The sequence below is a fragment of the Homo sapiens genome, chromosome 13 (genome assembly GCF_000001405.40).
Source record: "Homo sapiens chromosome 13, GRCh38.p14 Primary Assembly".
Classification (NCBI taxonomy): Eukaryota; Metazoa; Chordata; class Mammalia; order Primates; family Hominidae; genus Homo; species Homo sapiens.
Window position 1 is genome coordinate 71,864,609 of NC_000013.11, and position 26,878 is coordinate 71,891,486.

Here is a 26,878-nt window from a genome sequence, read left to right on the forward strand (position 1 = left end):
CTATTTTCTTTCTCCCGGAATCTCACTCTGAACTTTTGCCTCTGCGCTTCCTTGCAGAGAACCGTGGGGACAAAGCGGCGCTGTGAAAGGGGGTGGAATGATCATCTCTACCCCGAAACTGACAAGTTGCCCCACTCCCGCCCCCTCTTGGTAGATCCTCCCCCACTGAGCGTTCATTAGCATAAAACTGGTCTGGCTGGGGACCGGTCCCGCCGCCTCCTCCGTGCGCGCGCTTTGCTGGGCTGGGGAAGCCAAGGCACAGAGTATCAGGGCCGCTGAGCATCCCAGTGCAAAGTGTGCACCTGCTCGCTGCTTAAGCTACTAACCTTTAAGAAAAGAAAAGAGAGAGAAAGACAGAAAGAAAACACACTTTGGAGAGAAAGAGACAGAGAACTCGAAAGAGAGATCGAGAGAGAGCGCGCTCCGTGGCTTTCCTTCCTAATCTCTCCAGTTCAGCTTCCATTGAGTCTCGGGCAATCGGTCACCTCCCCCTACCGAAGAAAACCTGCTGGTTGCCCTCGCATCTGCCCCGGGGCCACCGTACCCCTTTATTTCCTTTGCACACGCACTCGCTCACACGCGGACACACGCACACATGCGCGAACACACAGACCCCTCCCCTCGGCTGGCTTCCCCTCCGGGCTTCGGAGCTCAAGTCCCCGGAGCCCATCCCCCGGGATGGACCCGGTCTCTCAGCTTCGCGGGTCATTTCCCTCCCGACCTCAAAGTGCCCTCCTCGGGTGCTGGTCCGCTCCCTCGCCTTTCCCAGCGGGGCCCTCACCCGGAGCGCGTCTCCCCGCTCCCCGAGCCCTGCGGAGCAGGTCACGACCTCCCCCCGCCCCCGGGACACCGCTCGGCGCCACAGATCAGCCCTGTCGGTGCCGGGAGGCTGGCCGTGGAACCCAGGTCCTGGGGAGCGCACGAACGCGGACAGCAGCGCTGAGAGGGGTCTCCAGGCGCCCGCGCGCCCGGGGCAGGGGGCTGTGGCTCCAGCAAAGGCGCCGTCCTCCTCCCTCTCGTCCCCTCCGCCCCGAGGCTCGGCTTTCCCACATCCCACAGCAGCCCATCCCCGGGACCCAGAGGGCAAGGGGAGGACCGGGCCGAAGAGCGAGGTCTGGGCAGGGTGAGGTGCCAACTTCTCAGGGGGTCGGGCGCGGCTGGCGAGCCCCGAGCAGGGAGAGGAGAGGGCCGCGCTCGCCGGGGCGCGCGGCTCGCGGGCGCGCAGAGCGAGCGGCGCCGGGAAAGGAGCGAGGGCAGGCGAGCAGGCTGGTGGGAAGGGGCGCGGGCGGCGGGGGCTATCCCCCCCGACTCACCTTGCGTTGGTGCAGTCATTGTAGAGGGTCTCGAAGTCCTTCCTGGAGATGAGTTTGCAGCGGTTCACTCCTGGCTGGATGGCGCCCAGTCCCCTCAGGATGCGAACTTGTTCCACATTGCACACCACCGGCGTGATCTCCAGCCGCTTCAGCTTGGTGTAGACCGTATGCAAGCCCCCCACCAAGTGCTTCAGGAACAGGTCGAAAGCCTGGGGCAGGCAGATCAGCTCGCAGCCCTCCACCGTGAAGGAAGCCACTTTGGCCCCCCTCAGATCCACCATTTTGCACTCATTATTCTGAGGGGTGTTTTCCACTGGGGACGGGGTTGAGTACACGGGTTTCCCGGGGAGGGGGCCGCAGCTGCTGCTGCTACTGCTGCTGCTGCTACTACTGCTGCTGCTGCTGCTGCTGCTACTGCTGCTGCTGCTGCTGCCGGTGCTGGCGTTGATGGGGGTGCTGGAAGCGACGCCGCCGCCAGCGCTGATGCCGCCGCCGCCGCCGCCGCTGCCGTTGCTCGCGGCCGCCAGGTTGGGGTTGCAGTTGCTGCCACCGCCGCCGCCGCCACCGCCGCCTCCGTTGCCGCTGCTGCCGCCGCCGCCTCCGCTGCCGCCGCCGCCGCCGCCGCCGCCGGTAGAGGTGACTGTGGCCGCCGCCGCCGCCGCCGAAGCGATGGGCTCCGGGCGGAACAGAGTTGGCCCAGAGGACGCCGGGGGTCCGATGGAAGGAGCCGGAGACGAAGTCGCCGAAGAGGTGGAGGTGGTGGTGCCAGAGGAGGAAGCAGACGTGGAGATTGGGGGTTGAGGGGGGACCAGCTGGGTCGGAGGGATCAAAGCCGCCGGCACTGCCATGGTCACATATAAGGGGAAACAGACGGAGGAGAAGCGAGAGGAAAAGTTGCCACACACCCCCGGGAGGGGAAGGGGAAAAAAGGGGGGAGAAGGAGCGAGGGGGGCAACAACAACTCCGGGAGAGAACGAGAAGGAGAAAGGGAGAGAAGGGGGAGAAAAGGAGGTGAAGGTAATAAAGAGCGAGCGCAAGAGGGGCGAGCACGAGAGGCGCTCTGGAGAGGAACGCACAAAAGTGTCCCGCAAGTCGAAATGCGAGTCCTCTCCGGGGGCTGGGATCGAGGGCTGGTTTGGGGGTGGGGGTGGGGCGGGGAGGGTCGGCTGTTGTTGTGTGGGTCTCGCTCTAGCACAAAGTTAAGGATGAAGGTGAAAAGGAGGAGGTTTGAAGGACTTGGGCTCTCCCTGGCAAGTACATTGATCAAAGATTGAGAGGGGAATGACAGAGAGAAAATGAGCTGAAAAGTGCAGGCTGCCGGCTGGACGAGTTGTTGTTGTCACACGGTGCAGAGGGGAGGAGCTCCGGAAACTTGAAATACCCTTTGAAGCCGCAAAAACCTCACTCACTAGTATTAACCCAAATTATCCAACCAGGAACTCGGAGCAGAGACTCCGAGAGCGCGAGACACTGGAGAGGGAGCGTGCGAGGAAAGGAGGAGGGGAGGGGGAGGATACGGAAAGAAACTGTGGGAGGGACGGAGAGGAAAAGCCGGGGACACAGAAGTGGCGATCGGAAAAGGAGAGGGAGATCATCTACTTCTCTTCTACTACTACCGTTAGATTGCATGTCTCACATTCCATTTCGTCCGCGGGGACTGGTAATTTTTTCCAAAGCTTCTAAACAATCGCCCGCCAACTTAAAGAGGAGCCTGAGCGCGCCGAGCTCTCTCCTTCCAGGATTTAGGATCCATCTCCACGCGTTTTGGCAATGAGCTAGAAACGAAAACACAGCCCCCACTTCACGATTATTCAGAAATTATTTTGAGGAAAATTCACATGTAAGCAAAGCGTAATGTTCTTTTGCATCTGATTGTTTATTTCTCTACTAAATTATTTATTTATATAAAGATAGTGAAAATTCCAGGACAGTTTTCAAGTGGTGAGAAGAAAGTCAGTCCGAAATCGCTTAAGAATAATGGAAAGCTCTGTATTCAATTCCATATTTCCTAATAGGTTGTGGAAAGAAATGCTTGCCTTGATGTGGATGATTTAGAATAACTTCACTGTCTCCCCAAAAGCCAGTCAGAAATACCTGTTAAACCTAGAGCTATCAAGGAGATAAGGTATCCTTGAAGATTTAGAAAGTGGAAAAAGGGTTTTCTTACCCAAAACTCTATAATTAATTCACCTGTCTTACACAGTAACCAACTATCCTCATGTCCTTTAAGACCCAAAGCCAATTGCTAATGTGTTTTTTGGACAACACAATAGTTTTTTTTTTTTTTTTTTCATGTTTGAAAAGTGCTGCTGTAGTTTTGGAAAGTCCTTTTCAATTTGTCAGTAAATATATGTTTTGTAAATAATGGGAAGAACAAAAACAAAGCTCACTAGTTGACTTGTAAAGACTTGGGTAGCTGTGCTTAAAACAACATGAGGCTGAGTTTAGACTGACTCTATTCCTCCTTTCCTTCCTCTTTCCTTTTCTTTTCTTTTCTAACTTGTTGCACTGAAGTATTTATTCAAGGATTTTTGACTAACATATCATTTGAATATGGGTCAAATCTATTTGCTGCTCATGTCTCCAAGTATCTTCAATTAGTTAGCCTTTGAACCGGTCCACACATGTTCAGTAAGTTCATAAGATATGAAGCAATGCTTTAGCATTTGACAGATTTTTAAAATAAACTGTTAGTAGCAGGTTCACAGGGTTGGGAAATTTTATAATAAAATTTTTGCCATTCTGGTGTTGAAATGATCACATTTCTCTATATCATTTTAAGCCTTTGAACTCTGTGAATCGCAGTGTCAAATAGTGCAGGAACTGTCTACCGAAAAATAGAAATATGACACTATGGACTAATTAGTGTATGATTATACTAAAATTTTTGGGACATAGCAGTTAAATCAGGAGGCTTTCCTGGGAGATAAGAATTCAGAAAATCGATTGTTGCAGAAAAGTCCATGAACTTCTGCAAGGACAACTAAAGTTTAAACAGTTGTTTGGCCTGGTTAACCAATGTATTGTAATACATTCAGAAATAATTTTTATTTATGTTTCAGTCTTCAAATTTGTTATGGGTAAAAGTAGGAATTCAATATATATCACATACATCAAAACACTTCCTTAAGTATTTTTGCATGTTTTAGAAAATATTACTTTTTTAAGACATACCAAACTACTATTATAATGAGGGGAGGGGAGGAAGAAAGTATTAAGCCCTGAAAAGCTAATTTTATTTTCGAATTCTATGCCTAACTTTAATAAATTTTGATATGGTTTTAAAAGACTAAACTATAGTCTCATTATTTTAAGTTCTAGACCCACAAATGGAAGAATGGGAATTAAATGCCGAGCATCTGCCATTACCATTCTCATTTTTTACATTTCCTTAAACTATCACTCACCCAATACCTGACACATTCGGAAGCTACAGACAGGAGGTAATGATAGCAGCCCAAGCCATAATCCCACCTTGCTTCGAAGCAAACTCCAAATTTTCTACTGCAGGGAAACCTTTGCCTCCGAGCACGTGCTCCACTCAGAAGCAGGGCTGAGAGACATTTGCCCCCACCTGAATAAGAGCTCTCCAGCCTTCCTTCTCCTGACCTCAGGTCTCAAAATCAGTTCAGGGAACCACCACTTACCCCTTCAATCAAACAATAGGATTAGAAAAGGCATATAGCACAAATTAAAATATGTAGGAAATAAAAGCCTTGAAAATTTTGAAGGTTTTATCTCTTTTTTCTTTCCTTTTTTTTTCTTTTTCTTTCTTTCTTTTTGAGAAATGTTGCCAATGAGTAAGGCAAACAGTTATTTAACAACAACAGATAAATCAACTTAGAGATTTTGAATTCTCACTCCATTGCATCTTTAGCTTTTAGAGCTTTTGTCTTGCTTGTTTATTGTTTTACATCTCCGCTTGTTTCAGGTCCTCTCCATCTCATCTTCCCCAACCTTCACTCAATTTGCATAAGCAAAACTCAAAGTACTGTAACTGATATTAGAAAATTCTCCCTGTGTTTTGTGAAGACGTATTGTGCTGAAATCAATAAGACTGTTTAAAATTCAAAGACCTGCAAATCGTTCTGTTTGTCCTTTGATAGGGCCTGTGCTGATTAAAATGCTACCAAGAAAGCTTAATTGCTGCACTAATTAAGAAGTCTTTAATTTCTTTCCTAGGATATCGTTTGAAGCTTAGCTTGTACCAGTTCAGGGAAGGTATTTTCTTCCCTCCCTCTGCCCCCTTCTGGCCCCTCCCCTCCCTTTTTCCCGTCCTCCCTTCCCCCACAACCCCCCCCACCCCCCGCCCGACAATGAGATCCCTACGAATGGGAACTAACAGAGAGAGTGGTCTCAGGTCTTGCTATCTGTTACTTAACAAAAATCGGCACAGGATGCAGAGTTCAGTACAGTATGAAATGCAGTTTTGAGAAGAGCTGTAAGGTTGCAAGAGACAGTAAGAAAATACAAAGTAGCTGTTGCAGCTAAAGTCCCGCTGAATACCTGGATGACAACAGGCACTTTAGCCCGATGATGAGGGCATCCTATTTGGTTAAAAGGGGCAGTGACAGGGAAATGAAACAGGGACACATAAAAACATACTTACAAAACCTGTGGTTTAAAAAAGAATAAATCTGTAGAAAGATGGACATAGAGTTGGGATTTGGTAAGTATCATTTTATTTTATGAGTATGAAAACATGAATTCTATGGGGATTTATTTCTGACCCTTTTTATAACCCAGGGAAACACAGCACTGTATTACATCCATTCCATTCTTATCTATTGACCTATTTTATTCACTGATTTCTCAAGTGGGGAAACTGACTAAATCATTTCACAAAGCTTTCTCTGTAATCAATAGTCATTTTTTAGGTTTATTCATGCTGCATTATAATTCTGGTAAATGACTGCAAAGCAGAAGATTGTAAGAAAGATACAAATATTGACAAAGCCAGGATAAGTCATGTCTTTAAACCTTCAGAGTTTCAATATAATTGATATCATTATTTGAAAAAAGGGAAATGCATATTTCATAGCATATAAAAAACTAAAATGATGGAGTAACTTAAAGGCAATATATATCTGAATGTATTTCTTGAATATCTCAAATTTTCCTAAAAGCTTTGAGTATCCTCTTTCTATAGCATCACTAAGTGAAACGGAAACAATTTGGGCATATGCAGAAATGACAAGAAGAAAAGATTCATTGCAATTTTATTATTTTAATTTTTTCCCAAGTTCTCTTAGAGACATACACAAAAACATACAGATGCATATTCCAGATATAGAATGAATCCCTTTCAGTGACAGGACAAGGAGATAAAATGCTTAATAGATTCAAAAGGAGATTTACCATTCTAAGCACGACGTCACTCTAATTATGTTTACTCTAATTGAAAGCAGGGTTTTTTGGAATCTGAAATTACTTTCAGATTTTTTTTTAAATAATGCAAGTAGATCAAATGTTGATCACAAGCATTTCAATCTTTCAAAATGTATTGGAAAATTAAATGAAAAGTGGAGTTTGGTACAAACAATGCCCCAGGGCAAAAAACAACTAACACTAGATTTTCCAGTCCAGCCATAACACAAATCAATTTGAGCACACTTCTATGGCCAGACTGCCAGATTGTTATGACTGCTAATTCACTCAATCAAAGAGTGCATTAGCACACCCGGCACAAATAGCCTTAACAATAGAGTGCATTTCTCAACAATTCCAAGATATATCACAATGGAGAGGTAAAGAGGAAGATCATTTTTATATCTACATATTTACTAATGGACCTGTTTCCTTAGGAGAAAAAAAAAAAAAGATCAACTTCAAGCATAGGTTTATTAAAGAGCTATCAAAGTTTGGCAAATCTAAAAAGATATCAGGGTACCAGTAGTTCACTGACTTTGTTAAACGTTTCTCAGGAGAGAATCCAAAATTGATGTTTGCACTTCAGTAGTAAATCATTGAAGATGGAGAAATTATGCCAAGTGACTCTCTCAAGCCTTTTTAACTCAGACGCACTGCCTCCTCAATCAGCTCAGCAGATAAACCTCAACTACCTTAAGCAAAGACTTCCTTACTTTTACACTTTCAGTCTCTGTCTCCCCACTTTTCCTTCCAACTTCTGACTTTTGATGACTCTTACTTCCATACCTTCCCTCTCTTTTCCACTGCCCTCCTTCTCCTCAAGAACAATATAAGACTTAAGGATGCATTCTCTAATCAAGCACAGAGAGCTTGGTGATGAATTACCCAAAGGACAAAAGGTAGGGAGCTGAAGGAGAACAGATCATAACTTGAAGCACTCAACTTTATATTGCCAACTTTCATTCTTAATAAAGAAGTGGTTAAAATGGTTATAAATAGTTCTGCTCTGCTTTACACCATGGAAATGCGTGGACTGTGTATATATGCTTACTGAATGCATTGTAATTGTCTATTCACATTCACCTTACATAGTTCCCATAGACAAATGGTGCCATTTGGCACCACTGTTAGTCCCTCCCTAACCCATCCTCATCACCTTTTCTCCTGGTTCAGGATGAAGGTGACATATGGCAAAAAATACTCCACTGGTCATGGGGTATATTCTCAGAAATCTCTAAACTCAGATTGAAGAGAGAAGGTAGTGGCAAGAAGAATAGTTACACACAAAAAAAAATTCATCCTGGAATTGCTTCCCTCATTTCAAACTGCATCGCTTCTATGACACATGGTCAACTTTCCATGATAATGTAGTTATCCTTTTCTATCACTACTTACTTCCAGTTAAGTGTCCTTAATTTCATCTGTAGGTTGGTATTAAGGGCTGCCCAGCCTACTGTTCAATTAAAAAAAATAAATACATTGAGATCATTGTAGAGTCAGATTGTAAAAGGAAGCAGCAACAAGAATAATATAAATTGAGATTAATCCCCTTCATCTCTTAAATCAGGTCATTGTGAGAGGAATGGTGCACTTGACTGAAATAAGGTCAAAAAGTCAGACAGATATTTAAATCCCTAGTTTTGTAATAAATATTGTACTTGTAACTGTACCTTTTAATATATGGCATTTTCTAATTGTCATATTCTTTTCTCTTTAAATAACCCAACACTCGCTTTCCTCTAAAGAAGATCAGCATGAAGGCATATGAATTGCTCAAGAGACATAGTTGAGAGTGGGGAGAGGACGTATAATCTGTTATAGCATAAAAATATGTTTGATATTGAAGCATAAATTACTCTGTAGTTTTTCAGCCTTAGGAGAAATGTATTTTACTTCATTATAAAAGTTTCTGTTGATTTTCTATATGCTTTGTTGTTTTAACTTATTATCTTGGTCCTTTTTCTTTCTCTATGCTCAAAAGAAGAGGACATTGTCCAACAAATAGCCTATAAAAATTGTTTTATTTGAAGTCAGAAATTTCATGGATTGTTAGAAAAGAATAAAGTGTTTATTTATTTATTGCCTTCCAGAACAAAGAGATTTTTTAAAAAGTTGAAAGAAGAACAATTGCCACCTTCTAGCCTGAGATCTTGTATGTCAAGTTTCAGCCCAGAGCAAATTTTTACAACAAGTTATAAACCCCTGTAACAGAGGGTTTATTATAATGGAAGTGCTGACACAACCTTAACTATAGCGTTGTAAACGGCTATGCTATAATATCCATTAAGCAGAAAGAAAAATAAGCTGGCTGATCAATAATTTATACAAAGAGTACCAACTGCAGACATAATAACTGTAATGTTTGCAAAGCAATCTCTCTGCTCTCCAGGCTTAACAGTAAACGCAAACTAGCAATGCTGTTAATTTCCAACTCCTACAGATAAGAATACAAACAAATTACTTAAAATTATATTTTGCTCAACATTTAGCATGCCTCGATGGGATAAAATAAAATTTAATTATGATGCAACTTGTGCCGGATGCAAAGCTGTTTTGTTTTCCAGCACATTTTATTATGAAAGGACATTCATTTGGAACATCAATTATGGGGAAATAGTATGTTTCAAGGAGTTGACTTGGGTCAGGCAGGCTCTTCTAAGAGTTATTCAGACATGGAAACAGACTGACACTGTTTAACTTCAAAGAAAGTTACAGGGTTTTACAAAGCCACAACCTGAAATACAATACTGCATGCTCTGATCCAAGTCAACTGTCAGTAAAAACACACCTTGTCATTATAGTTTATGGGAAAAAAGACATTGGTTTGGAAAATGTGGCCATCATTAGCATCCAGTGCATCTAGGAGTGCTCATTTAACATGAGCTTCATTTGCATGGAAGCACAGTGTGTCATTTCTATCTAATAAACATAAATCATAAAATGTGAGCATTATTTTCTTCTCTGGAAAGTTTTTAAAAATATATTTTAATAGCTGTCCATATTCATTAGTGCTCACTTTTTTTAGTTTCTACATATGTGAAGTATGTTATTTTGATATTTTTGTTTTCATTGGTGGCTTTTAAACCAAGAAAAGAATATTTGACAGGAATTCAAGAAGGGAAGAGAAGAACTGAAGGATTCCAAATTGTCCACTATGTACATACTGGAAGTTGAACCAAGAGTTTACATTTCTGAGGTTCACATCTCCATCAGTCTTTTTGTCTGTACATTTCCTGATGGTGGGATTAGTGGGGGGTGTGGAACTCAGTAGAACGAAGAGACTTTGCTATCAGAGTTGTAAAATGGTGTATTACCCTGTGAGCAATTGCACTTGGAAAGGAACCAGTAATTTATATGAGAAGTGTTTAAGATTGCCTGCTCACCCAGTGATCCATGCCAGGTCAGTTCCAGTAATGCTAGAAAACAAAAGGAGGTACACATCACTGGGAAAGAGACACCTTATACGCCTTAAGAGCTTGTGAAGGGAAGCACTAAAATGCCATTTTCTCAAATGAACTGATCATTACCATTTAAAATCCTGAGGGCTGTGGGACTGGGGAGGAGAGAAAGAATTTTTCTTTTGATTTAACAGGGCTCTGAAGTACTGGTTTTAAGGGGGAGGTGTTTTGTTGTGATTGTGTCTTAGCCCTATGCTTTAGCAAAGGTTAAATCTTGAAAAAAAGGTGCAGTTTTAAAACAATGAAATGGAAAAAGACACAATGGCTCTGAGAATGCACCTGGCCCATGTGAAACTAAGAAATTAGCTGTTTTTAAAATAATCTGTACAAATAGTAATGCAACCGTCTACTGCTAACATTCATGCCAGGCTCTAAATTGTTGGTGTTAGTATTTTACTTGAATAGATTTTCCCAGATCAACCCCTCACTCCTCCAGTTTTCAGGAGAAGGCTGGGATAATTATATAAAAAAGTACTTCCTAAGAATTCTTTACAGACTTCTTTATTCTTGCTTAGCACAATCCAAGTGCCAGCTCTTAGTATACCTCCTTTGGGGAGAGGTTTCAATACTGTCATCTTCAGGCACATGCTTTTCCCATATGCTTTAAAGTCATTTTAGTTTTTGAACCGGAGTTCCGTTCATTCACACATCCAGCATGTCTTCATAATATATTCTTTCATATTTGGAGAAGAAACTAAATAAAATGACTATTCCTGACTAAGTCAGAATTTATAATTCACTGATTGGCTCAAGATGCCACACATCCAGGAATCTTTGCTGATTTATTCCTGTGTGTTGTAATAATTTTCACACTGCATTCTGATGGGAGAGACAATTATCTTATGTGTTTACACTTGTTGATATGTTTCTCTTCAGGTGGTCTCAAGTCATTTCTACTGCTTTTGATATCCACTATAATGATTAGGGCTTGTGGGGTGCCCAGTAAATGTTAGCTGGGTAATTAAAAACTGCTAGTATGCTATGCGATCCATTTTCTTTGCCCCCAAATTACATAAAATGCTCCTTCTCCAAATGATATATTGTTTGATTCAGAACAAGATATTGATAAGTAGCAAAATTTTAGATATGCTCATTCAATTCTGTCCTAATATACAATGAATTTAGGACACTTCTTAGGGCAAAAAATCCGAAATGCTAAGAAACTGGGTCTGAAATAGCTGGAGAAAAGAATCGTAGGCCTGTAACTATGGCTTGTATTTGGGACCCATTTAGAAAAGAATCTTCTTTTCTTAGTCATCAGAGGAGCCATTAGAGAGTCTTCACCAAGACTGAAAATATAAGTGAGAGTACATCTTGAAGTGCTACTGCAGAGGAGGAAGAAAAGTAGATTCGTGTGTGAAATTCTACCTACCAAATGTGAGTAAGCGTGCATATGTGCAACAATTTGTAAAGTTGTTTACTATAACATCACCATCACTTTAACGTACATAGCAGTCTCTGTTATATAAAGCATACTTATTTTTGTGCACCGACCATATGCTAGTTGCTGAGGATGCAAAGGAGAAAAAGACATTCGTCCCTATCAGCCTTTACTGTACATTATTTCTGTTGAGTCTTATTACCATAACATCATTGAAATTTTGTGTTAGTGGAGCCTGGAAGATCATCTAATCCTAACATTGCAGATCTCATGCTACCATTTCCCCTGTGACCATGTCAGACATCACAAATGGCTTTCCGATCCTTCCCCTCAAGATCTGAGGCAATCTCAGTAACACTGTCAGGATAGAACTGTAGTCTGCCTCTCACTGTGAGCTCAACAGATTCATCCCTATATATCACTCCTGATCTTGCAAAAGAGAAAATTGACAATTAGCAGTATATGAGAATGTCCCTTTGTACTCACAGCTAGTTAAGGCTTAAGTCAGGTATTGGTTTAAAATCAAGTCCTCATTGATTTATTCTCCCAACTACCCTCAAAAAAAAACTTTCTGAGGTAAAAGGGGGAAATATTTTTATTTCATTTCATATGTAAGAGAATTGAAAAAATAATAGAGAGGCACAGTTGGGTCTAAACTCATGATTCTCTGTTTCTATTTCTGTATAACAGATCTCAGAGTGCTCAAATAATAGAGCTACTGATGTGTTCTCAGTGGCTACTTAGATGAATGCACTGATATGCTACAGTGCAACATAATGGGGATGAAGGAAGCAAACAAACAAAAAACTTGTGCAACTGTTATTTCAGGGACAAGACCTTTTGAGATCTTGAGAAATACTTCACTTGTATGTGATGTTAGAAAGTCAAACTGCACAAAGCCTTGTGGTTCTTTGACTTTCGTGATCTGGTTTCCTCTGGTTAGAAAATGGCAGCATCCACCAGTAAAAATCACCTACCTGTTGGAGTGTGCTGCAAAATCAGGCAATGAGCCAGCAATTGAGCCAGCAGTTGATTCCATAAACACTTTTCTATAGTCTCTTACCAACCTCAGTCTGCTTTCCATATGGGACTATTCAGCCTCTTTCTCCGATCTTTTTTCATCCTGATTTCAAGAAAGGTCACTTTCTACTTGTTTCCCAGATGATTCAGGGATCACTCACAGCTCTTCCTAACAGAGCAATCGCATGCCCTCCTGCTGCCACATTTAAATTGTCTGAACTGCGTGGCTTGTTCATTTACTCTCCCTTTAGAGTGAAGCTGCAAAGTAAGGAAGACTTGAATGGCCTTGCATCTTCAAAGAAGTGCCTCGAGCTCTGGAATGCAACAAAGTGGTAGAAACCACTAAACACCGGGAAATGTCAACAATGAGGCGGGAATGCATGGGCAGGTGGATGCAGCATTTCTAGGCATTTTCTCAGACAAGGCAACAAACTCAGCTGAACTAGAAAATGGGTCTTTTTCCCACAGAAACTAATTTAACTGATTTTTGAAACACATTGATAATAGCATTAGCATAAATTTAAATACATGCTTACCAGGCTGTTCTCTGTTATGTTTTTATGCAAGTGATTTGGTTGACAAATTAATAATTGTGATTACTAAAGAAGAACTAAATTTCCAATAATCTGAACATTTGGTCCTAATAGGAAGCTGTAGGCCTTGACTTCTTAAAGCATTAAAAAAGATGTAAGGTCAAACTAATTTCAGTAGCTAAAATGCACTTATACTTAATTGTAGTATATTTCAAGCTAAACTTAAAAGAAAGCAGAAATGTACCCAAATGTTTTATGCCTATAGTAGCAATTGGTAGTTAAATTACTTCTAAGCACCGAATATGAAATTCTATTTATATAATTAATATAATTTATATATTTATGTTATATCTATTATTTATATATATCTATAATTATATATATCTATAATTATATCTATATCTGTAATTTATATCTATATCTATATCTAATTATAGATATATATCTATAATTTATATTATATATATAAATTATAGCTATAAATATATATATTTATATTATATTACATATAATATATAATATATAATATATATTTATATTATATTATATATAAATATAGTAAATATAAATATATAATTAAATATATAATTAATCTATAATTGATGAGCTTCATTGTAAATATAATAGGTATTAGATGGTACATTCAGCAACTAAACAAATAGTATTTTGTATGCAAATGTAAAGAGACAAACTTATGTCTTGTATGTTTCTTTTAACCTTAACATTCAGGAATAATCATCATCAGTATTTTGATAAGTTTTCTTAGGCAAAATTTCAAAATATTCTTCTAGTAAATCTGACTACTACTTGTTGAATTTCCACAGGAAGCCCCCTAATCAGGAATTGTCAAAGGTAAATACATAAAGTGTTGTTTACACATCTTGAGTTTATGTATATTAATATTATTAGCTATTATAAAACATAAGACATTCAAAAATCAACATCAGATTAATGTTATATGTCAAGCCCTCTAAATGTATATGGCACTTAATTTATATTGAAAAAAATTTTAAAGAATAATTTCTATGAATATGTACTTATATTTTTTAGAGTATAGTCTCTTATTTTAAAAATATGATCACAAAATATCTTTTAATAATTTAGCTACAAAGAAACAGTTTCAAGGAATTGCTTTCTATGCCACACACACACACTCAGAAACACACTACTTGTACACACACATACTTGCTCACACATGCCTATTTTCAGAATTTTCTAAATAGCAATTACTTTCTTAGATTTATAGTCTATAATGCATGGCATTTTTTTTATCCAAAAATATATATTTTTTGTTTCCATTTAAGTAGTTTTAGTCTAAAAGCACTTGCTAATCATAACAACACAGCAAAGGTTTGTTATGTAAACATTATACTTTATTATCAGCCTTTGTTTTCCAATACAATGCTTTAAAAATATCCTCTGTTGTATAAAGGACATTGTTGCAAAAAGGCAGCTCAAAACTTGTCCTTCCCTTCCTTTCATTGATCTGTTGCCTCTTAGGCAATATGAACAGCTGTCTCCAGCTCACCCACAAGCAAGCTGAACATAATAATAAGGTAGTGTTACTGGCCTGAATCTATGAATGATTATACAAAGGGTGCCAGCTCTTTTCCATTAAAGATAAGGTAACAAAGATACCATAGAGAAGAAAACTGGTTAGCAAAGCAAGCGTGTGCTTCTGCCTTTAAGGTTTAGTTACTATTCTGGTAACCACTGAGTTTCTCTTTCCGTTGGGTTTCCAATAAGGTGAAGGTGCCCTCTGTAGGAGACTCCCAGTAAATGCCGCTTTTTTATATTTGGGTGACAACAGGCAAGTTCTGCTCCCCTACCTCCAATTTATAAATAAACAAATAAATAAATAATCACAGAACTCTGTGTGAGCAGAAGCTTGAACTCTATAAATCTTAGGGGGAAATTAGTATAAAGCCCACAATGATCTATGTAAATGTGGTTGCTTTTTCAAAATGAGAGCAATGGAACAGTGAGCAAGCTATACAGCATGTTGGTGTTTGATATTTATTGACACTGTGACACTGTGATATGTAATAGAATCGGCTGTATAAATTCAGAGGTGTTCCAAAAACTGAAAGATAGAAGGTCTTGGCATAGTTGAGTGAAAAATGGATCTAAACAGAAAAATCCACATGCGGAGAGACACATTCACCACCTAATAAATACACCTCCCCAAAAGGTCTTCTTATCTTCCCTTCCTATAAAGGTTACCATAATGCAGATTCATTATCAGTCCCACTGGGTAGCACATAGCTCCGTAAGAAATTGCTTTTGTTAGCATGCTCGTAGAAAGAGATTAGCTATTTCACCAGATCTCTTGGGGCTATTTGAAATTTTGGGAATTCTCTCTGTAATTTAAAATGAAAGTTAAAGCCAATGCGAATAGACTAGGGAGAATCTCACAAATTAAACCTCTCCATCTGGAAGTTTCTTCATCACTTATTGCAAAGTACAAGCTGATATCGCATTTGTTACAGGCAGGAGAGAGATTTCATCACTGATGATGCAATTACATTTATATTAATGTTTTAATAATTAACTATGTTGGTTGCAAAGAAAAACGTAAAATAGAAATGCTTAACAGTGTTTTGGATTTTTTTGTCTTTATTAACTTTGTATATTACTTAGATTTTATCACTGAGATCATCTATGTGCATTATTTAAACTATGACTTTAGCCTCTATGGAATGTGTGTAGGAGAGTCTAGTATCACCTGTATTGCAAGTTAGGGGATGAACAAGTAGGCATGGAGGCATAAGAGAAGGGAGATTATTTGCATCCTCTTATCTAACTGACTTCATTGATCCTCAGTATCGCTCAAACATCCCCTTCTCTGCGAATCCATTTTCCCATACCATTGGCCACTTAATCTCAACAACAACTATATTATGGATTACTATGTACCAAGCACTGTGTGAGCACTGTGCTAGATAGTTTATATGGATTATCTCATCTAATCCTCGTAATACATAAGAAAGATAGGCAATTTGTCTTATCCCAGTAAGAAAATGAGGCATCTAAAGTTTGGCTGATTAAATTACTTGCCCAAGCCTACTCCACAGTCTGCTTTCTTTTCCCCAAGGATACCACTCCCTTCTGTCCTCACTTATTTTCTCACCTGATTATTTTTCACATGTTCAACTTATTTGCGCTCCTGTCTTCCTAACACAACTGCCTGGTGAATTCCCAGCCAGCAGTAACAGCTATCTGCCATCCCACTGGATGACTGAGCATTGCTAAACACTCTCCCACAGTTATGCAGAATTGTATCCTTGATTACTCATGACTCTTAGTTGCAAGCTTTAAAATTTAAGCCAGTTCATCTAGAAAGGGTCTGAATCAGCTCACATCATCACATCAATAGAAGTCACGGCTTCAGTTGGTCTCAGGGATAACTTTGACCAGAGATTCAAACGTCTCCTCATATCATCTCTGATTTCTGAAGACACGTTTGTCAAGGTGTCTTCTTCAGTTCCTCAGTTTGGGTTCTAAACAACTGGATTCATAGTTTCTAGAAGCAATCATGCACACTGCTTCTAACTCCAGCACCCAAAGACACAAATCCAAGGAAGAATTCTTATTGGGTCATCTTGGAAGAGGTGCATATTTCTGGATGAAGAAACTGATCAAGGGCATTATCGGGTAGTGGTTAAGAATGTGTGGAATGTGAAACCAGATTCCTGGAATGTAAAACCTGGTCTATTTGTGACTTGGGACAAGTTTACATCCCAGTGCCTGAATTTTCTTATATGAATAAAAGGAAATGATAATTGTACCTACTTCATTGCATCGCTATGATGATTAAATGAATTACTATGCAGAACTTAGAATAATGACTAGTTCTGAATATGTTAGTTATCAGTGATCATTTAGGCCTTAGGATTGGTTCAGCTTGGGGCAGATGCTCCACTCAGCTCAATCAGTGCGACCACTGGGGCAGAGTAATTAAACAGCATTGAAGCTCAAATTTGAGGGAGATTCCTAGCATGGGAGACAGAAATTTTTCGGAAGGAAAAGACTTTTCCAGGTGAAAGAGTGAGAAGTGCTAGATGGACAAGTCACCAGACACCAGGAAGAATACTATACAATCAGGAAGAATGTATGATCTCCTATATGAGTGGAGAGCCATTCAACCATCTTTTTATGTGTCCTTAATCAGCTCCATCGCTCCTTCCTCTCAGTGATAATTCCAAAACTTTCTTAAATACTAAACCCAATTCTTCAAACGAGAGATGTATATTCTCTATTGACACTCTTCCTATTGCAACAGGGAAGTTTAAGATCATCAGGTTTTCACCATTTCTTGATTGGACTGTTCCTAGAGTCTCTGAGCTGACTCCCTTTCCCAGTCCTTCCCTTCATCCATCCACATTATTTCCAGATTTATAGTGGAGCTTGAGAGTACCACTTTCAATATAAATCTTGAATATAGGTCATGAAGTCTATATACTAAAACTCTTCAATGGTACTCCTTCACCTCCAGCATGAAGTTCAAATTAGGACTAAGCCTGACCTAGGAGACTTTATCTTTCCTGTTTTTGTATTTGGATACTCTCCAGGTCTAATATTTATTTTGTTATTATTATCTCTACTTTGTGACCATTTGTTGACCTGTTTTAAATAGCTAGCTAGCTAGCAGACAGAAAGAAATCAATAACCAGTTTGCTAGGGCTACAGTAACAAAGTACTACTGACTTAAGCAACAGAAACATTTTTTACAGTTTTGGAGGCTAGAAGTCCAATCTCAAGGTGTCAGCAGGTTCAGTTTCTTCCAGAGGGCTCTTTCCTTGGCTTGCAGATGGCTACTTTGCTGCTGTGTCTTCACATGGTCTTTCTTCTGTAGATGCCCCTGGTGTCTCTCTAAGCATCCTAATAAGGACATCAGTCAGGTTGGATTAGGGCCTACCCTAAGGACTTCATCTTAACTTACCTACCTCTTTAAAAGCCCTGTCTCCAAATACAGTCACATTTGGAGGTAGTGGTTAGGGATTCAACTTATAAATCTTGAGGGGACACAATTCAGCTCCAGTTATAATTTTTATCTTAGAAAGTCTAAAGTGCTAAATTTGTCAAATTAAATCATGCTACTCTTCTGGTGAAAATACTTCAATCGCTTCTCATTAGACTTTGAACAGCACTCTGGTCTTTTTCTTCATGGCATAATTTTTTTTAATTTCTTTTTTGAGACAGATTCTTGCTCTGTCGCCCAGGCTGGAGTGCAGTGGTATGATCTCAGCTCACTGCAACCTCTGCCTCCCAGGTTCAAGTGATTCTCCTGCCTCAGCCTCCTGAGTAGCTGGGATTACAGGCACGTGCCACCATGCCCAGCTAATTTTTGTATTTTTAGTAGAGACGGGGTTTCGCCATGTTGGTCAGGCTGGTCTTGAACTCCTGACCTCGTGATCCGCCTGTCTCGACCTTCCAAAGTGCTGGGATTACAGGGGTGAGCTGCCGCGCCTGGCCGCATTATTTTTAACTTGTAATTTTACCTTAGTTTGTTTGCTTTTTTATTGTGTGACTATCCGCATTGGTAAGAGTTCCTTTGGACCATTTCTATTTTATTCTTTATTGTATTTTCTTTCTAGTACAGAGATTGAAATAAAGATGTTCCTCCATGTTTATTGAATAAGAAACGACCTACTTCAAGTAGTATGACTATACTGTGTTATTTCACATGTTTGGGGTTTGGTTCTGACTATATCCTCCAATATTTATTTGCTTACCTAATGATTTTTTACCCTTTAGGACATCCCTCAACGAAAGTGATACATATGCACCATGGAATACTATGCAGCCATAAAAAAGAATGAGATTATGTCTTTTGCAGGGACATGGATGGAGCTGGAGGCCATTATCGTTAACAAACTAACACAGGAACAAATACTGCATGCTCCCACTTCTAAGGAGGAGCTAAATGATGAAAACTCACGAACGCATAGTGAGGAACACCACACACTGGGGCCTATCAGAGGGTGGAGGATGGGAGGAGAGAGAGGATCAGGAAAAATAACTAATAGGCACTAGGCTTAATACCTGGGTGATGAAATAATCTATACAACAAACCCCCATGACACAAGTTTACCTATGTAACAAACCTGCACATGTACCCCTGAACTTAAAAGTTAAAAAAGAAATAAAAAAGGATGCTCTAAACCAATGAAAGACGTAACTATCCCACTTCTATGGGATACTTACCTCTATTTTTAATTTGTTATCATATATGGTATCAGTCTTCATTAATTACAGGGAACAAGTATCAATCATATTTTAATTTACAGGGTTTAGCATATTGCCTAATATATGACAATCCTCACATTGAACTTTGCTTTTTGGGAAACAGTTAAACTTCACCTGAATGACCAGATAAATTTTAAATGAATAAAATATCAAAGTATAAATGATTTAAATAATTATATTCTACCTCATCTTTAAGAACTTTCCTGATAATCTCAGTCTAAACACTTCTCTTTTATCATTTATTTTATCCATTATGTAGCTATGAGTAATCCATTGTCTTGTAAAATCTATTAAAATATTGCCTTGAACTACTGTTTCCATCTTTAGTCATTTACATTTTGAATTAGTTTGTATCTCATTTTTTTTTTATCTCACCAGCTAGAGAGTAGGGGATTTTGTCCTATATAATTACAGAAAAAGACATATATGCATATAATAAGCACTTGTTCACTGGATTCAATTTGGATAAATTTGAAGCATGTGTAAATTCAGAGATATTTCAAATATCTAGCCTATTATATCAGTTAGCTCTTTCTGCATAAACGTACAATCCAGAATTTAGCAGCTTAAAAAAATCACATTTGATTTAGCTTATTCTTTTGTGTGAGGTCTGGGATGACGCTTCTGGTCTGGGTCAATTCAGCTGGGTTGTGTTTTCTGTGATTGCTTCATGATTTGTCTGGTCATTAGGAGACTGCCATCACAATGGGGCTGGGGTTTCACCAGGCAGTTGTGTTGGTTGTGAATCTTGCATATGTTAACCGGTGGACATATGCAACACATTCTTAGGTGCTATGGACTGAGTTATGGTCCCTGCCCCAAATTCTTATGCTGAAACATTAACCCTCAATGTGACTGTATTGAGAAATAGGGCTTTTAGGAAGTAAAGTTAAATATGCTCATAAGGATAGGGTCCTAATCCAATACAATTGGTGGATTCATAACAAGAGGAAGAGATTTTCTGTCTCTATTTCTCTATGTCTCTCTAGCAAGCACCAAGGAAGGCCATGTGAGAATACAATGAGACAACCATCTGCAGTCAGGAAGAGAGCCCTCATTAGAAACCTAATTGGCAGGCACCTTGGTCTTGAACTTCCCTTCCTTCAGAACTGTGAGAAATCAATTTCTGTTGATTAAGTTGCTGGTATTTTGTTATGGCAGCCAGAACAGACTAAGATACTAGGGTATATACCTAGTATTGGACTTGATAATGGGGTTTGCACATCTTCATACTTATAAGATGGAGTCAAGTGGTTTCCAAATATTTCAAAAGTTGTTCCACATCATTTCTAACATCTGATATTATAAAACTTTTGAAATGTTGCAGCCAGGGGGTATAAAATGGAATCCAACTGCAGCTTTAATTTATATTACCTTATTACTAAGATTGAGTTTTTTTTATATGCTGTTTGGCTATTTGAATTTTCCTCTTCAGTCAAGTGTCTGCTCTTTTGCCCATTATAAGTTATGTAAGTTACCATTTATGTTTTTCTTTTTGATGTACAGAATTTACATATTCTGAATATGTTAAAAATATATTCTCCCAGTGTGTTTCTTCTATTTTCACATTATTTGTGATAGTTTTTGATGAGCAGAAGTTCTTTATTTAATATAGTCAAATTCCAGATTTTCCTTTATAGATTTCTCTGTTTGGGTCTTGCATAAGAAATTTCCCTATCCTAAGAACATAACCTCATTCTTTGAGATTTTTTTTTAATTTTGTTTTTTTGCTTTATATGTTTAAGTGTTCAACATTCTAGGAATTGATGAGTTTAACAGCAGAGATGGAGGGGTAGAGGGAGGAAGATAAAGGGTGTTTGTTGCTCCTGGCATCTAGTGGGTAGAGGGCAGGGATGTTGCTAAACATCCTACAGTGCACAGGACAATCCCTATAACAAAGAATTATCCAGACCAAAATGTCAGCAGTGCTGAGGCTGAGGGATCCTTGGAGTAGTCATTTGTGTAATACAGCCATAATCAGTATTCTTAAATTCTTTATGTGTGCTTAAAAAGAAAGCATATCCTACAATCACGAGTGTAATTGGTTTCTATATTCTATGTGCTTCTTTTAGTTAACCTTATTAATTTTGTGGTTCAAAGATTTCATAATCTAACTGATTTTTTTGACTACATGATTTATCATTATGGAGAGAGCTGTGCTAAAATCTCTCTCTGTGTGGATTAGTCTAGTCCCTCATAGTTCTGTCAACTCTTCCTTTAAATAACTTGACGCTCTGTTTTGAGGTAATACAAGGGTAGAATACATATGTCTTTCTGGTGAATTGAAATGTTTATCATTTTAATTGGCTATCATTTTCTCTAACACATTTTTTTCAATTGATTTTGTCTAATATATCCTTATAAACACAGTGGACATTTTATATTTTAATATTAATTTGTTATAACCTTATTAAATTTTTTGTTTTCAATGTCCTTATATTTTAGGATATCTTTTGTGAACAACATGGAACTCTTTTATTTTAGTATAATTAATTAATTAATTTAGATACATGGTCTCACTCTGTTGCCCAGGCTGGAGTGCAGTGGAGCAATCACGGCTCACTGCAGCCTTGACCTTCCAGGCTCAGGTGATCTTCTCATCTTGGTCCCCCCAAGTAGCCGGGACTACAGGGCGTACCACCATGCCCAGCTAATTTCTTTGTATTTTTTGTAGGATGGGATTTTGCCATGTTGCCCAGGCTGGTCCCGGATTCTTGGGCTCAAGCAATCCACCTGCCTTGTCCTCCCAAAGTGCTGGCGTTTTCAGGCCTGAACCACCACATCCGGCCTTACCTTTATTTTAAATCCCTTTGCATAATCTTTGTGGTTTAAATGGGTCACATAGTCCATTTTCATGTATTGAAATCACTAATATTTTTGTATTGATATCTATCATCTTATTTTGTGGTCTTACTGGTACCACCCCCTATATTTTGTAGTTTCTTCCCTTGGCTTTTAATATCCATTCATGACTCACCTGAATCAACCACCACTGTGATGGTTGCCAGATTGTGTTCATCTATTTCTGTTTTTCTTTCTACATTTACAAGTTGTCATCTTATTGCAAGAAAAATCTTTGTCTTCTATTGAAATCATGACTTTGTTAATTTAAATTATTGTATTCCCCTTATTATTCTTTATTTTCATGTTGACATTGGCCCAGATTTGTTGTTCAGTTGGAGTCTATTCCATCTGGCTTCTGTCATTTTGACATGCCCATGTCATTCTTTGGGAGTTTCTTAGTTTCTGGCACAGGGTCCAGGTTCCTTTTGTGCTTTTCATGCCAATGGTCTTGGAATCAGCCATTTCTCTAAGGAATCTGGTTCTTGTGGAAGATTATATATCAAAACCAAAATCAGGACCAAGAATCAAACACATTAATAGAATGTAAAAATATATTCAACAAAATAGAATTACAAAAAATGTATTAGAGAAAGTGAAAGTCACTTAAAAATTATCTAATGAAAATGCCTTTCACTAGAAAAGACTTAAGAGTCCAGGGTTAGGTGTGCTCATTGCTACGTGTACTTCATAGCTTCTAGGTCCTCTCAGTAAACAAAGTAAGAAATAAATGGATGTGTGTATACATTTCTAGATAAGTAAATAGAAAAAATATCTGTGTGTGTCACACATGTTTTGTATCTATTCTATATCCATTATTTCAATCTACATCTATTATTTATCTATCTACCTATCTATCCTGTGAATTTATACAAGATTTTCACTTCCAATCCAGTAATTTCATCATGTTCATTTCAGTTAGTTTCTCCAATATCTGTATTCCTGATAGTGAGAAACTTGACTTCCATTATCTTCAATGTATGTACTTATTTGTCTTATCTCCTTGTACATAACCAATATCCCAAACTTGCTTGTTACCTCTTTGACCTTGACCATTTTGCTGTCTCATTAGCCTATGATCTTGCCATGGCCCCTTTGGTTGACTACCTAAGCGACCCCAGCCCTTTACCCACCTTCTAAGCCTCACTGCATTCTCTACCCCCAGCTCTATCAGATTCTGAAACTTTCTTAACTCCACCACTTCTCTTCAGCCCTGCTCTTGTTCCACAAAAAGGGAAGGAAAGAGAAAGAGGAAAAGGACAGCAATGTCCTCAGATTGGGAGCTAAAGTTTATCTGAATATTTATTTATTTATTTTGAGTTAGGGTTTCACTCCGTTGCCCAGGCTGGAGCGCAGTGGCGAAATCTCTGCTCACTGCAACCTCCGCCTCCCGGGTTCAAGCAGTTCTCGTGCCTCAGCCTCCCAACCTTAGGTGATCCCACCGTCTTGGCTCCCAAAGTGCTGGAATTACAGGCATGAGCCACCATGCCTGGCCTCAGGCATTTTACTTTTCTATCATATGTCAACAAGAAAAGAGATGAGAGTCATTTTTCATGTTCTGTATGCTATCCTTGATCCAAATATTATCACTATGCTCTAAGATTTCTAAATTAGGAAATTAAAAGTTTGTATACTCAAGCTTTATATGTAGTAAAGTAATATATATCTAGATGAAATATTCCACCTGAGAATGGCCACATACTCCCCAATGTAAATTTTTAAATAATTTTGAAATATTTCCTCATTTTATTCACAGGACGTGATAACGAGTCATACTGCGGTGGATCGGCATGCACCCTGTCCCCCTTCTTACCTCCCAGAATTACCTCAGTATCATAGCGTAGGTGCTTTGGAGAAAACTGACTCCTCCTAGCAATAAGTCTTCAGTTGCTTTAAGCTTTAAGCACATTCTTTCAGTCCTCTGATCATTGTCATTTGTCCAGGGGTGGGCATGGACTTTAGTGGTACCAAAAAAAATCTCGCATTCCTATTTGAAATGCTGAGACAGAAGTACAGGCTCTCACTTTCTCTGCAGTTGGCAGAGAGGGAATGTGGTCTCGATTGCTTCTGGCAAACATTGTGCAGTCATGTTGGAAAGGGGACTTGAAATGAAGCGAAGATTCCAGAAAACAGAACAAACCAAAAGAAATGGTGACCACTATAACTGGCAACTGTGGAGCCTGCCCTATCTCTGGACATTCAGTTACTGGGGCTAATAAAGCCTGGTTTACTTTGTTGTCTGTGCCATTTGACTTTGCTTTCTTGATGTGAATAACACAGAAAAGTTCTAACTCACAGTGACATTAAAGAAAAAAGCAGAATGGAATAAAATCAAACTAGCAAAGTGTATAAGTCATAAGAAAAAATTGACCATGACTAAAGATAAGACTAGACAAGGGTATCTACGCTTTGAAAAAGTTGGTCACATGATAAGAAGTTCTTTTGAAAATAAGCTTTATTTTTTATTCTTTGGTCAAAAATGGGCAATGATTAAAAATAGCTTATTAATTTTTCAAAAAAATGCATTAAAAGAGCAACATAATAGCAGATCCAAAGCAGTTTATGCAAAGTTACCCTTATAAAACGTCACAATTAGGAGGCTAGTATGAGTCTCTTATATACTCTGGTTGTATCACTAATACTGCACTTAGAAGCCTAAAGCTTTCTTCTTTATTTGAAGAAATGTATATTCCGTTAGGGCACAATTATTTGATTCCATACTGAAAGTGTCTGTAGGTAATTTTATGGAAGAAAGGAACTTCTAGAGACAAAATGAAGCTAAGCTGGGCCTAGAGTTGATACCTTTGGCCAGAAATATTAGGGCAGTCCTTTTATTTAAAAAAAAAAATCTTGACATGAATAAAGCAGCAGAAAGGACATAGTATGATTCTACTTCTATGAGGTACCTAGAATACGAACATTCATGGAGTTAGAGAGTAGAACTGAGGTTACAAGGGACTGGGGGACAGGAAGGTTCAGGGAGTTATTGTTTAATGGGTTCAGTATTTCCATTTGGGAGGATGAGAAAGTTCTGGAGATGAACAGTAGCAATGGTTGCACAATATTGTGAATGTGCTTAATGCCACTGAATTGTACGCTGAAATTTGGTTAAATGGTAACCTTTCTGATATTTATATTTACCATGCTAAAAAGATCCTTGCCTAGCACAAAATTTGATGCATACATTCAATTAGAAAAGTTTTCATTTTCATAAAATTGTTAGTTTTTATGTAGAAAACATTAACAACAGTAACAAAAGCAGCTGAGTATAGCTCTTCAGAATTTCCATGACCTAGCCATCTGCTTGCATTAAAGCAAACCAGATCTCCATTTTCTGCTTCAACTTCTTCAGTATATCCAGTAAACTGGTCATGTTTAAAGGCACAAGCATGAATAAAATTCATAATCTCGATCACTTTCCTAAGACATCATGCAATGAACCTCACTTGCAGAGTTCACAGCACCAATTCTCCTGATGCAATGGGAAGTGAGCTCACTTTCTCTTTATGATTTAAATCAACGATTGAGATCTCCTATTTTATTTCTTTTATTATGGGGCACCGTATCTGTGACAAATAATTTCAGTTTTCTACACTTAGATGAAACTTCTCAACTTTCATACCAGCAAGTGATTACGTTCTACTGGTTCAAATATGTTAATTAATTTGGACTCACTATTACTTCTGTTATTTCTAAAAATTCCTGGTTTCTTATATTTGGTTTGCAGTACACAAATGAGACACAGTAGGGTGAGAGCAAATAGTTTTCTATTTCTGATTACTCAGATTCACATAAGACAAAGGGAAAGTCAGATACTTATTTATAATTATTTTTCATACAGAACTATACTAATTCTTCATTCACCTGTATAAACTCTTACATAATATATATTCATGAGAAAGGAACACGTACGATAAATGGAGGGTTCAAGAGACCCAAAAGATTTAAAGATGGAATGCTTTATTCAACCATTGAGAATATCCTTAATTTGAAATATTGTATGTTAATGTGTTTCTTTGTATTTCTTTATGTTGCCCCTATTCTTCATTTCTGGATTTTTAAAAATCTAAACAAACATAAAAGTAAGTTTTTGAATGGTTTTAGTTAGTCCATGTCAATTTACTGGAGTTAAGGATCTTCCACTGAAATGCTTTCTAAAAGCCATATTTCACAACTGCAGCTTACCAATGGAATGTTCCATTAGGTGTGCTTTACTTTCTCTCCATCCATGCCATTCAGTCTTGGTTAAAAGCTGGATACAATAGGGAAGGTTTACTGGGGAGACAGGACACTACACCCTTTAAACCACCTTTCTCAATATTGTCCCCATCAAGAGACAAGGATTTTGCTTCTTCCAGGTATAGCTCATTCTAGCAGTCTGTGGATTTCAGCACTAAATGTCTTCTAGAAACTTCAGGAGAAACAGCCCTATTTAATACCATTTATCTTTACCAGTCATCTGTTAAATAGAACTTCACTTTTAGGAATGTTTTTAAAAGCTAAAATGAAATGTTAAGGAATAGAAATACAGAAACAGTTAAGTGTCCTGCCCACTCACACATTGCTATAAACAAAATTAAGAACAAGTATTAAAATTAATCCCAGCTACTTGGAAGGCTGAGGCAGGAGGATCACTTGAGCCCAGAAGTTTGAGAACATAGCGAGACTCTGTCTCACAAAGAAAACAAAATAAAAACCCAAACATTAAAGTTA

At 38.9% G+C, this 26,878-nt stretch overlaps 1 protein-coding gene across 6 annotated transcripts in view, besides 4 other annotated features; it reads right to left on the reverse strand.

Annotated features, from left to right (window-relative positions):
* DACH1 (dachshund family transcription factor 1) overlaps positions 1-2,596 on the reverse strand; it is a 429,239-nt gene extending 426,643 nt beyond the window's left edge. For all 6 annotated transcript variants that reach the window (NM_004392.7, NM_080760.6, NM_080759.6 and 3 more), the window contains exon 1: positions 1,314-2,596. In NM_004392.7, coding sequence (NP_004383.4) covers positions 1,314-2,161 — 848 coding nt within the window. In that variant the 5' untranslated portion in view covers positions 2,162-2,596. The remainder of the gene's footprint in view (positions 1-1,313) is intronic.
* Positions 11,433-11,482: an enhancer, noted in NCBI's record as "active region_7811". NCBI's record gives its function as "activates an Ori minimal core promoter by ATAC-STARR-seq in GM12878 lymphoblastoid cells {active_cell/tissue: GM12878}" and the evidence as "EXISTENCE:reporter gene assay evidence [ECO:0000049][PMID:35858748]".
* Positions 12,102-12,602: an enhancer, noted in NCBI's record as "OCT4-NANOG-H3K27ac hESC enhancer chr13:72450848-72451348 (GRCh37/hg19 assembly coordinates)". NCBI's record gives its function as "activates a minimal SCP1, AML or CMV promoter by ChIP-STARR-seq in primed H9 embryonic stem cells {active_cell/tissue: H9 hESC(primed)}" and the evidence as "EXISTENCE:reporter gene assay evidence [ECO:0000049][PMID:30033119]".
* Positions 12,603-13,103: an enhancer, noted in NCBI's record as "OCT4-NANOG-H3K27ac hESC enhancer chr13:72451349-72451849 (GRCh37/hg19 assembly coordinates)". NCBI's record gives its function as "activates a minimal SCP1, AML or CMV promoter by ChIP-STARR-seq in primed H9 embryonic stem cells {active_cell/tissue: H9 hESC(primed)}" and the evidence as "EXISTENCE:reporter gene assay evidence [ECO:0000049][PMID:30033119]".
* Positions 14,519-14,798: an enhancer, noted in NCBI's record as "active region_7812". NCBI's record gives its function as "activates an Ori minimal core promoter by ATAC-STARR-seq in GM12878 lymphoblastoid cells {active_cell/tissue: GM12878}" and the evidence as "EXISTENCE:reporter gene assay evidence [ECO:0000049][PMID:35858748]".